This window comes from Homo sapiens, chromosome 12, assembly GCF_000001405.40.
Source record: "Homo sapiens chromosome 12, GRCh38.p14 Primary Assembly".
Lineage (NCBI taxonomy): Eukaryota > Metazoa > Chordata > Mammalia > Primates > Hominidae > Homo > Homo sapiens.
The window spans coordinates 109,036,302-109,048,592 of NC_000012.12; the positions used below are offsets into that span (position 1 = coordinate 109,036,302).

A 12,291-nucleotide genomic window follows, 5' to 3' on the forward strand; every position below is an offset into this window, starting at 1 on the left:
TCTTTCTTTTTTTTTTTTTTAGGGAGTCTCACCCTTTCACCCAGGCTGGAGTGCAGTGGTGTGATCTCAGCTCCCTGCAACCTCCACCTCCCAGGTTCAAGAGATTCTCCTGCCTCAGCCTCCTGAGTAGCTGGGATTACAGGTGTGAACCACGCCCAGCTAATTTTTGTATTTTGGATAGAGATGGGGTTTCACCATGTTGGCCTGGCAGGTCTCAAACTCCAGACCTGAGGTGATCCACCCTGCTTGGCCTCCCAAAGTGCTGGGATTACAGGTGCCCTTTAGTATTTCTTATAGGGCAAGTCTGCTAGTGACAAGTCTCTGTTTTTTTGTTTTGTTTAAGAATCTGGGAATGTCTTAATTCCTCCTTCATTTTTAAAGAATAGTTTTGCCAGATATAGTATTATTGTTGACAGCTTTGTTTTTTTTTAATACTTTGAATATGTCCTTCTACTACCTTTGGACCACCAAGGTTTCTAATGAGAATTTAGCTGTCAGTCTTATTAAGTATACCTTTTATGTGAGGGTTGCTTCTCTCTGCTTTCAAAATTCTCTTTGTCTTTGGCTTCCTACTGTTTAAATAGAATGTGTCTAGATGTGGACCTCTTTGAATATATTCTCTTGGAGTTCATTGAGCTTCTTTGATGTATAGATTAATGTTTTCCATAAAATGTTGGAAGTTTGGCATCTTTTTTTCTTCAGGTATTTTTTCTTCCCTTTTGTTTTTCTCCTTTCTTTCTGGAATTACCATTATGCCTAAATTGGTATGCCTGATGGAGTCCCACAGGTCTCTGAGCCTATGTTCATTTTCCTTCAATTATTTTTCCTTCTGTTCCTCATCTCAATGGAACTATCTTCATGTTCATTGATACTTTGCTTACCTGTTCAAATCTGCTGTTGTGCTCGCTAGTGAATTTTTCATTTCAGTTATTCTACTTTTCAACTTCAGAATTTCTACTTCATTCCTTTTAATAATCTCTATCTCTTTATTAATATTCTCCATTTGGGGAGACATTGTTCTCATTCTTTCCCTTAGATCTTTATGTCTAAATTCCTTTGATCATATTTAAAACTTATTTAAAGTCTTTGTTTCATAAGTTCAATGTCTGGACTTCCTCAAACACAATTTTTACTGTTTTTCCCCCTGTGCATAGGCCTTACTTTTTTTGTTTCTTCACATGTGTCATTATTTTTTATTGAATGCTGAGCATTTTATATAATATAATATGGCAACTCTGGAAATCAGATTCTCCTCCCTCCTCAGGGCTTGTTTTTGCTGCTGCTTGTTGTAGTTGCTGTTTGTTTTGTGGCTTTTCTGAACTAATTCCATAAACTCAGTTAGTGGCCTACAGGTGTGGCCACTGAAAACTCAGATAGCTTAGTGGTCAGCTAATAATTGGATAGAGATTTCCTTAAATGCCTGGAACTGCCTGGAACCAGTAAATCTTCCAGTCTTTGCCAAGGAGTGCCGTGTGTGTTGGGGTACACCTTCAACACTCAGCCTGTCAGCTGAAAACTCTGCCTTAGGCTTCACTTCCTGCTTGTGTCAAACATCAAGGTCAGCCAGATGTGAGAACTTAGGGCCTTCTCAGGTTTACCCTGAGCATGTAGAGAGTGCTGCACATGTGTATGTCCTTCTAGATACTCAGAATTACATCTGAATTTTTCAAAGCCCCTGAATATCTGATTCCTCAGATTTTCTTTTTTTTTCTTCCACTTTTATTTTAAGTTCCCAGGTACATGTGCAGGATATGCAGGTTTGTTACATAGGTAAGTGTGCCATGGTGGTTTGCTGCACAGATCAACCTATCACCTAGGTATTTAGCCCAACATTCATGAGCTGTTATTTCTGATGCTCTCCCTCCCCCGACCCCTCCAAAGGCCCCAGTGTATGTTGGTTCCCGCCCCCCTCCCCACCTGCCAGTTTCCATGTGTTCTCACCATGCAGCTCCCAATTGTAAGCATGTAAATATGTGGTGTTTGATTTCTGTTCCTGGATCAGCTCCATCCATGTCTCTGTCAAGGACATAATCTCATTCATTTTTATGGTTGCATAGTATTCCATGGTGTATATGTACCACATTGTCTGTATCCAGTCTATCATTGATGAGCATTTGGGTTGAATCCATGTCATTGCTATTGTAAATAGCACACATTTTCCTTTTAAGCTTTTTTTCCCTTTTAAGCTTTTTGCTAGTCTATCTTTTTTTTGCTGCAATTGTTATTCATTTCTTCAGCAATGAATGCTATTTATTAAAATACTTACCTGCAATGTTTCAACAAACAGTCTGTGTGGGCTTATATTTCCCTTTCTCTTGGATAAATAAATACCTAGAAGAGGAATGGTTGGATCATTATGGTAAGTTTATGTTTCTCTTTATATGAATCTGCCAAATAGTTTTCCAAAGTATATTATTTTACATTCCTGCTAGCAACGTATGATATCCAGTTGCTCCAAATCCTCACCAACAAGTGATATTAATTTCTTTAATTTTAGCCATTCTAATGGGTGTGTGGTGGTATTATATAATGGTGTTAATTTTTGTATCCCTGATGACTAGTGATGTTGACCATCTTTTCATGTGCCTACTGATCATTCTCATATACTGTATTGTGAAGTATCTGTCCAGATATTTTGCCAGTTCAGAGGGAATTGTTTTTCTTCTTATTGAATTGCAAGAGTTCTTTACATATTCCGGATACAAGTCTTTGTTAGATATATGTATTATAAACATTTTGTGGCTTATCTTTTTGTTTTCTTAACAGTGTTTTTTGAAAAGAAAAATTTTAAAATTTTGATTAGATCCAATGTATCAGTTTTTTCTTTTCTAGTTTGTGCTTTTTGTGATCTATCTATGAAATCTTTGTCTACCCCAAGGTTGCAAAGATTTTTCTCCGTTTTCCTCAGAAAGTTTTACAGTTTTAACTTTCAATTGTAGATCTATAATTCATTTCAAGTTAATTTGCATGTCTTGTTACATTCTTTTACAATAGTGTACCTTCTATATTTTTATGTGTCTTATCCTATAGTTCTCTATGGTTTATTTTGGCCATAGAGGAATGTCATATCTTCCAAAAAGGTTTGGGTGGGAAGACAGGAGATAGGGCTTGTGTTCTAGTCATTTGACCTTAGATAAAGTTCCTACAATGCTCTCATCTGTAAAATGGCACTAATTATATCTTACCCTATCTGCTGCCCATGAATGTAGTGAGAATATAAGGAGATGATACAGAAGCCAGCATTTAGAACTGATCTAGTTCCCGAGAAAAAATGTGGGGTGCTGTAACTATTCTTATTACTAAGTGATAAGAATCCATTTTTTTTTTTGAGATGGAATCTCACCCTGTCACCAGGCTGTAGTTCAGTGGCACGATCTCAGCTCACTGCAACCTCCACCTCCCAGGTTCAAGCAATTCTTCTGCCTCAGCCTCCCAAATAGCTGGGACTACAGGTGCCCGCCACCACACCCAGTGAATTTTTGCATTTTTGGTAGAGATGTGGTTTCACCATGTTGGCCAGGATGATCTCGATCTCTTGACCTCATGATCTGCCTGCCTTGGCCTCCCAAAGTGCTGGGATTACAGGCGTGAACCACCACACCTGGCCAGCCATTTTCTTTCTTTCTCTATCTCAGTGTTTCACTAAGGATGGAATGTTTACCTCTGAATGTAATCAAGATGACTTGGGGTGATATATGATATAAATATTTATCACATTTTAATTATCATATGTAGATACTTATTTTCACATATATTAGAAAAATATTGTTTTTTTTCTACATGTGAAAACAGTTTTTATAAAGAACATTTAAAATATTTATGTGCCACAGGTTGATGAATAAAATAGTGAAGGTAAAGTCTACATATGGCAAACAAAAAAAAAATTTAGGGTGCTACCAAAATACCTGAAGTTTGGGGAAACTTTAGAGTTTAACTATTAAGGAAGTGATTAGAGAAACTATTAGGGAAGCTTGTCAAAATGCAGATTCTTAGGCATCACACTGCTATGTTCTGATCCACTTGACTGTGTTGGGGCCTGGAACCCACACTTTTAACAAGCAGCTCAAGAGATTTTGAGGTAGTTGGTATAAAGTCCACATTTTGAGGAACATTGCTCCTGCTATAGTAGTTCTCTACTGCTGCATAAGAAATTACCCCCAAAACTTAGCATCTTTAAAAAAATTAACAATTGTTATCCCACACAGTTTCTGTGAGTCAGGAATCCACCAAGAGCAGCTGAGTTGGCTGGCTATTGCTCAGGGCCTTTTATGAGGTTGTAGCCAGATGTTGGCTATGGCTGTGGTCTCATCTGAAGACTTGACTGGGGCTGGAGGATCCACTTTCAAGATGGTGCACTCACGTGATTGGCAAGTTGGTAATGGCTGTTGGCAGAAGGCCTCAGTTCCTTGCCACATGGACCTCTCCATAATGCTGCCTGGGCATCTTCACAACATGGTGACTGGCTTTTCCCAGAGCAAGTGTTTCAAGAAAAAGCAAAGTGGAAGCAACAATGTATTTTATGACCTGGCTTTGGAATTCACATAGCATCACTCTCACAATAGTTTTTTCAATGTGAGATGTGAATTCAGAACATGGGGGATCATTGGGGACATATCTTTGAGGCTACCACACTCAGCTTTTCTCCCATATTGCCCTACATGGTCAAAATTCTCAGAAGAGGCAGTGGAGAAAGAACCAGATTCTCTACCAGGAAATGGGGTGTCTGGTTCCAGTTCTGCCCTCATTTAAACTCTCAGGTCCTCTGTTTCCTCATCAGTCAACTGAGCTGGCCTCTGATAGTCTCTTCAGTTTAGGACCTTCCAGATTAGAAAGAAAACAATTGTTTCCTTAAGATTAGATGTTTTGCAAAGCAATGTGCTGAAGACTTATGGGATTTCTGTTTTAACAGGATGAGGTGACTTTCAGGCAAATGCAATTCTTGCTGGGGAAAACAACCCATAAATTAACAACAAATAGGAGGAAACATGCACAATTAATCACATCCAAGTTCCTGAAAGCTTGCTGGGGCTTCATGATTTAAGAAAATGAATATGGCCAGGTGTGGTGGCTCACTCATGTAATCCCAGCACTTTGGGAGGCTGAGGCAGGTGGATCACGAGCTCAGGAGTTTGAGACCAGCCTGGCCAACGTGGTGAAACCCCATCTCTACTTAAAATATGAAAATTAGCCAGGCATGGTGGTGCGTGCCTGTTGTCCCACCTATTCCAGAGGCTGAGGCAGAGGAATCGCTTGAACCTGGTAGGTGGAGGTTGCAGTGAGCCAAGATAGTGCCACTGCACTCCAGCCTGGGTGACAGAGCGAAACTCCATTTCAAAAAAAAAAAGAAAAAAGAAAAAGAAAATGAATATATGTGAAGTATGAACTTATCAATCATATAAATTAGATGATGCCTATTCCATGGCAAATTATTTTTTTAAAGAATTTATCATGGCATTCCTTGAAGAGCTACTTTGGAAGGTCGAACTGTGAGTTTACTATTGTGAAGATCTGAGGTAAGAAAAGCTTTGAAGTGGGGTTTTAGGATCCCTCTGTCAATTGAAGCACAACCAGAAAAAAATAGTTTGAATTACAAAGATTGTGACAATTCAGAATGACTGCATAAAGAAAGACAAACTTATAGAGTATCTCTCAAATTATTTTTTAATTATAAAAAAATTGTAGAAACTCAAATAATATGAAACAGCATTCAGGAGAAAATTAAAATTACTAGTAATTTTACCACAGAGAGATAACCCAGAGTGACCACTTAAGAGGCATATCCTTTTAGTCATTTTTCTGTTCAAGGACACCCACACATAGGTATCTTCATACGAGATTGTGACCACATTTATTGTATTAGCTGACCTTCTTTTTTCACTTTGTATAAACTTCTGATGAGCTTTTTTTTTTCCAAAAGGAATGTCAATTTTGATGCTGTGTTTCCATTATGTTTTTCAAGTTTAAAATTATTTTTTGAATAAATATTGCATGGAGATGGTACAAAATTCACTAAGAACAAAAAGATGTTCCTTTCTGTCCTCAGTCATACGGTTCTTTTCCCAAAGGCAAGCAATGTGTGCTCCCAGTTACTTATTTATCCCTACAATTATAAATGCCTAATCTTTTATTCTCTCACACAAATGATAGCATTTTGCCCATTTTTCTGCACCCTCCTATTTTCTCTTAACAAAACATCTGAGCACCTTTCCTAACAATACGGAAAGAGCTGGCTCATTGTTTTCATAGCTACATAGTACTCTCCTGTGTGGGTATATAATAATTTTGCTGGATATTTAAATTGCTTCCAATCCCTTATTATTAAAAACAATGTTACAGAACATTATACTCAATGGTGAGAGACTAAAAGCTTTTCCTCTAAAATCAGGAACAAGATAAGGATGCTTGCTTTCACAACTTCTATTTAACGTAGTACTGGAAGTTCTAGCCACAGCAATTAGGCAAGAAAAAGACATAAAAGGCATCCAAATCAGAAAGAAAGAAGCAAAATTATCATTGTTTTCAGATGATATGATTTCATATGCAGAAAACCTTAAAGAGTCCAGAAAAAAGCTGTTAGAACTAATAAATTAATTCAGCAAAGTAGCAGGATACAAAGAAAGTCAATACACAAGAATCCATTGCATTTCTAGATACTAACAATGAATAATCTGAAAAAGAAGTGACAAAAACTATTTCATTTACAATAGCACCAAAAAGAATGAAATACTTAGGAATTAACCAAGGAAGTGAAAGACTTTTACAATGAAAATCACAAAATATTGCTGAAAGAAATTAAAGAAGACATAATGGAAACACATCCCAAGTCCATGGATTGGAAGAATTAATATCGTTAAAATGTCAATACTACCCAAAGTGATCTGTAGAGTAAATACAATCTCTGTCAAAATCCCGTTTACTTTTTGAAGAACTAGAAAAACCCATTCTAAATTCGTGTGGACTCTCAAGGGACCCCAAATAGCCAAAACAACCTGAGAAAGACAAGCTAGGCTGAAGGACTCACTCTTTCTAATTTCATAACTTACTACAAAGCCACACTAATCAAAACAGTATGATACTGGCATAAGATAGGCATATAGACCAATGAAGCCCAAATACAAACTCTCTGGTATATGGTCAAAATGACTTTTGACAAGAGTACCAATACGATTGAATGGGAAAAGGACAGTCTTCATCAAATAGTTCTGGGAAAACTGGATATCTATGTGCAAAAGAATGAAGTTGCCCCTTACCTAACAACACATACAAAAGTTAATTCAAAATGGGTAAATACCAAAATGCAAGACCTAAAATGATAAAACTCTTGGAAAATAATATAGGGCAAAACCTTTGTGACATTGGATTTGGCAGTGATTTCTTGGATATGACACCAAAGACACAGGCAACAACAACAAAAAATTGGCAAATTGGACTTCATGAAAATTTAAAACTTTTGCGCATCAAAAGACACTATCAAGAGTAAGAAAGCAACCCACAGAATAGGAGGATATCTTTGAAAAATTTTATATCTGATAAGAAATTAATATCCAGCAATTTCAGGTTGGGTACATATCCAAATGCATTGAAAGCAGGATCTTGAAGAGATATTTGTATATACCCATGTTCATAACAACATTATTCACAATAGCTAAAACATAGGTAGCAACCCGTGTCCATCAACAAAAGAGTGGATAAGCAGAATGTGGTATACAATGAGGAATAGTGTTCAGCCTTAAAAAGGAAGGAAATTCTGCAATATGCCACACCATAAATGAACCTTGAGGACATTATGCTAAGTGAAGTAAGCCAGACACAAAAAGACAAATTACTGTATGATTCCACTTATGTGAGATACTTAGAGTAGTTGAATAAATAGAGACAAAATGTAGAATAGTGGTTGCTAGGAACTGAGGAGCGTGTAGAATGAGGAGTTACTGTTTAACAGGTACAGAATTTTAGTTTTGCAGATGGAGAGTTCTGGAGATGGATGGTGGTGATGGTTACACAACATTATGAATGTCTTTCAATACCACTGAACTGCACACTTAAGAATGGTTGTCCAGACATGGTGGCTCACGCCTGCGATCTGAGCAGTTTGGGAGGCTGAGGTGGGAGGATTGTGTGAGGCCAGGAGTTTGACACCAGCCTGGGCAACATAGTGAGACCCCATCTCTACAAAAAAAGAAAAATCAGCCAGGCACAAAGGCTCGTGTCTGTAGTCCTAGCTACTCGCGAGGCTAGGGTGGAAGGATCATCTGAGCTCTGGAGTTCAAGGCTGCAGTGAGCTGTGATAATGCCACTGCACTCCAGCCTGGGCAACAGAGTGAGACTCTTTCTCTAAAAATAAAAATAAAAAAAAGAATGATTAAGATGACAAATTTTATGTTATATGTACTTTGCCACAATAAAAAAAAATGGAAAAATCCTCTCAAATGCTGTAATAAATATGTTTATTCTTCTACATATGTGATACTTTGTCACTGAGTATGCAGATTTGTAATTCTGATAAACATCCAAATTGCTCTACCTATACCTCTCACAGAGATACCCAAGTTTTCCTGTTTACCCATATACCATCATCATTATGTTATCACACTTTTTCATGCTTTATTAATCTGATGGGGGAAAAAATGTTTTCTGATTATAGTTTTAATCTGCATTCTTTTCATTACCAAGTAAGGTCAAACATCTTTTTTTTTTTTTTTTTTTTTTTCTGTTACCCAGGCTAGAGTGCAGTGGCGCAATCTCTGCTCACTGCAACCTCCGCCTCCCGGGTTCTAAGCGATTCTCCTGACTCAGCCTCCTGAGTAGCTGGGATTATAGGCATGTACTACCATGCCTGGCTAATTTTTGTATTTTTAGTAGAGACGGGGTTTCACCATGTTGGCCAGGCTGGTCTTGAATTCCTGACCTCGGGTGATCCACCCGCCTCGGCCTCCCAAAGTGCTGGGATTACAGGCGTGAGCCACTGCGCCCGCCCAAACATCTTTCCAAAGGGATAAGAGGTACTTATGTTCCATTTCCTATCCTCTCTTTAGCCCATTCTCAGGTGTTAATGAGATCCCAGCTAAAATCAGGGCTGGGTTGCTCCATATGCCCAGGCAGTGTCTTGAAACCAACAGAAATGTGGGGTGCAGATCACAGTGGGGGTGGGGGGTGATGGTCCCAGCCTGAGGGCTCAGGTCGGAGGCAGAATTGTCCAGCTTAAGACACAGGCCTTAGAATCACACAGACCCGCCTGCCATACTGTCTGGTCACAAACCCACAGTATGACCTTGGCCAAGTCAATTCACTTCTCCGGGCTTTAGCTTCCTCTTCTATGAAATGGGATTTTAATAGAACCCACTAGGAGGGGCTGTTGGGAGGATGAAACAGGGCAGTGCATGTAGGTACCTAGCATGGGGTCTTGTCGGTAACAAGTTTTGGCAGGTGGTTGCAATCAGTATGTTTCAGGTGAGGAAACTGTGACCCCATTGTACCAGTCAGGGTTCTCCAGAGAAACAGAATCAATAGAACGCGTGTGTATGTGTGTGTATGCACACGTATAGATCATATAGATACAGACATAGACACATAGACGTAGAACTAGACATAGCTATACATGTAGACATAGATATAGATATAGGAGTGAGCCTTAAAGAATTGGCTCACACAGTTGTGGAAGCTAGCAAGTCCAAAATCTATAGAGTGTGCCAGAAAGCTGGAGACCTATGGAAAAAGCCAGTGTTGCAATTCAGGCAGTCTGCAAGCAGAATTCCCTCTTATTCTTCCCTCTTGCTTGGGGGAAGTCAGTCTTTTTTTTTTTTTTTTTTTTTTTTTTTTAGATGGAGTCTCACTCTGTTGCTAGGCTGGAGTGCAGTGGCGCGATCTTGGCTCACTGGAACCTCCGCCCCCCCGGGTTTAAGTGATTCCCCTGCCTCAGCCTCCCTAGTACCTGGGACTACAGGCACATGCCACCACACCTGGCTAATTTTTATTATTATTATTTTGTATTTTAGTAGAGACAGCGTTTCACCATGTTGGCCAGGATGGTCTCGATCTCCTGACCTCGTGATCTGCCCACCTCAGCCTCCCACAGTGCTGGGATTACGGGCGTGAGCCATTGCACCCAGCCCAGTCTTTTTTTTTTTTTCTTCCTCTTCAGGCCTTCAATTAATTGGATGAGGCCCACCCACTATTTGGAGGGCAAGCTATTTTACTCAAAAGTCCACCAATTTAAATGTTAATCTCATCCAAAAACCATCTCACAGAAACATCCAGACTAATGTCTGACCAACTATCTGGCCACTTTGGCCTAGCCAAAGTTGACAATTAAACTTAACCATCACACCCAGGGAAAAAGATGAATTGCCTAGGATCACATAGCCAGCCAGCTGGAAGGTCTGTTTTGTTGTTGTTGCTGCTGTTGTTGTTGTTGAAATGGAGTCTCACTTTGTCGCCCAGGCTGGAGTGCAGTAGTGCGATCTTGGCTCACTGCCACCTCCACCTCCCAGGTTCAAGCAATCCTCCCACCTCAGCCTCCCGAGTAGCTAGGATTACAGGTGTGCGCCATCATGCCCAGCTAATTTTTGTATTTTTAGTAGAGACGGGGTTTCACCATGTTGGCCAGGCTGGTCTCGAACTCCTGACCTCAGGTGATCCACCCGCCTGGGCCTCCCAAAGTGGTGGGATTACAGGGGTTGAGCCACTGCGCCCGGCCAGCTGGAAGTTTTGATCCAGACCTCAAACCAAAGATTTTTTATTTCATTGACTAGGGTGACCACGTATTTGGAGACAGTCTCAGTTCAACACCTGTGGTCCCAGCATAATTCTTAGTAAAACCACCTTTTACTCCTCCAACGGGTTTAGTGTGAACAACAGAGGTGGATGCATTTTTTTTTTTTAACCGAGGAAACCCTTCTTATGTTCATTCAACATTTATTCACCTAAGAGACGATGTTTACCCTACACTTCATCCTCTTCTGGCCTTGAGGTCAACCCACAAACTTGTCTGGGGAGAAGGGTGAATCAGTGCTAAGAATGTGCTGCCAACATAATTGAGACCATGGTCAGCGGATCAATGGGAAAAAACAAGAGCTACAACAAACAGTTCTGACATGCTGTGTGAGGTGGAATTTAAATGATTTTGAGACATTTATTATTGTTTTGTTTTGGCCCCCAAAACAACCGCATGAGGAAAAAATAAACAGAAATCTTGTGAGTGTTTGAATCTTTCTGTGTTTATTCTTTCTACCTGTGGACAAACACAAATACATTATACATGTTCATGTGAAAGCATCTTGTTTTTCCAGACCGGACACTAAGACCCAGCGCTGAGGACAAAAGGAAGCAAGCTCTGCATATTTGAAGTGTTGCAAACTAGGGTCCATCCTCTGGGCCAGCCCTCTCCTCTAGTGACTTACTCAGAGTGTGTTGGGTAAGTGTGGCATTTAAAGAGAGGGTACTTTGGGAGGCCAAGGTGGGTGGATCACTTGAGCCCAGGAGTTCGAGACCAGTCTGGGCAACATGGTGAAACCCTCTGCCTCTACAAAAAATACAAAAAATTAGCTAGACTAATTTTAGTATTCACCCAGCCAGCTAAAGTGGTGGTTCTCAAAGTGCAGTCTGCAGGCTCCCTAAGGGTGCTCAAGACCCTTTTAGGAGGTTCACTGGGTCAGAATTTTTCATAATAATACTAAGCCCTTCCCATTCCCATTCACTCACCAGTGTATCTCGGAGTTTTCCAGAGGCCGTACAATGAGTGATGTGATCATGGGTCTGACGTCTAATAGAATGCCTACTTTTTTTTTTTTTTTTTTGAGACATGGTCTTGCTCTGTTGGCCAGGCTGTGTGGTGGAGTGCAGTGGCACAATCATGGCTCACTGCAACCTCTAACTCCTGGGCTCAAGCAATCCTCCCACCTCAGCCTCCCAAGTAGCTGGGACTAGAGGTGTGTGCCACCAAACCCAGCTAAATTTTGTATTTTTGTAGAGACAGGGTTTCACCATGTTGCCCAGACTCGTCTCAGACTCCTGGGTTCAAGGGGTCCACTCACCCTCAGTCACCCAAAGTGCCGGGATTATAGGTGTGAGCCATCGCGCCTGGCCTGCTTCAGTATTGTTGGGTTTTAAATATTTCTGTTTCCATCAGTGATTGCCAGGGGTTGAAGGGGGGTGGAGGGGGGTGAGTACCAAGGGCCAGGGGGTCACTTGTGGGCAGTGGTGATTCCGTATCTTGATTCACCTGAGGTCAGGAGTTCGAGACCAGCCTGGCCAACATGGCGAAACCCCATCTCTACTAAAAATACAAAAATT

At 40.3% G+C, this 12,291-nt stretch overlaps 1 protein-coding gene across 3 annotated transcripts in view; it reads left to right on the forward strand.

Annotated features, from left to right (window-relative positions):
* The window catches only part of USP30 (ubiquitin specific peptidase 30), a 64,935-nt gene that overhangs the window by 13,213 nt on the left and 39,431 nt on the right, over positions 1–12,291 (forward strand). For all 3 annotated transcript variants that reach the window (NM_001301175.2, XM_047429732.1, XM_017020052.3), the window contains one exon: positions 11,289–11,413. The gene's annotated coding sequence lies outside the window, so the exon portion shown is untranslated. The remainder of the gene's footprint in view (positions 1–11,288; positions 11,414–12,291) is intronic.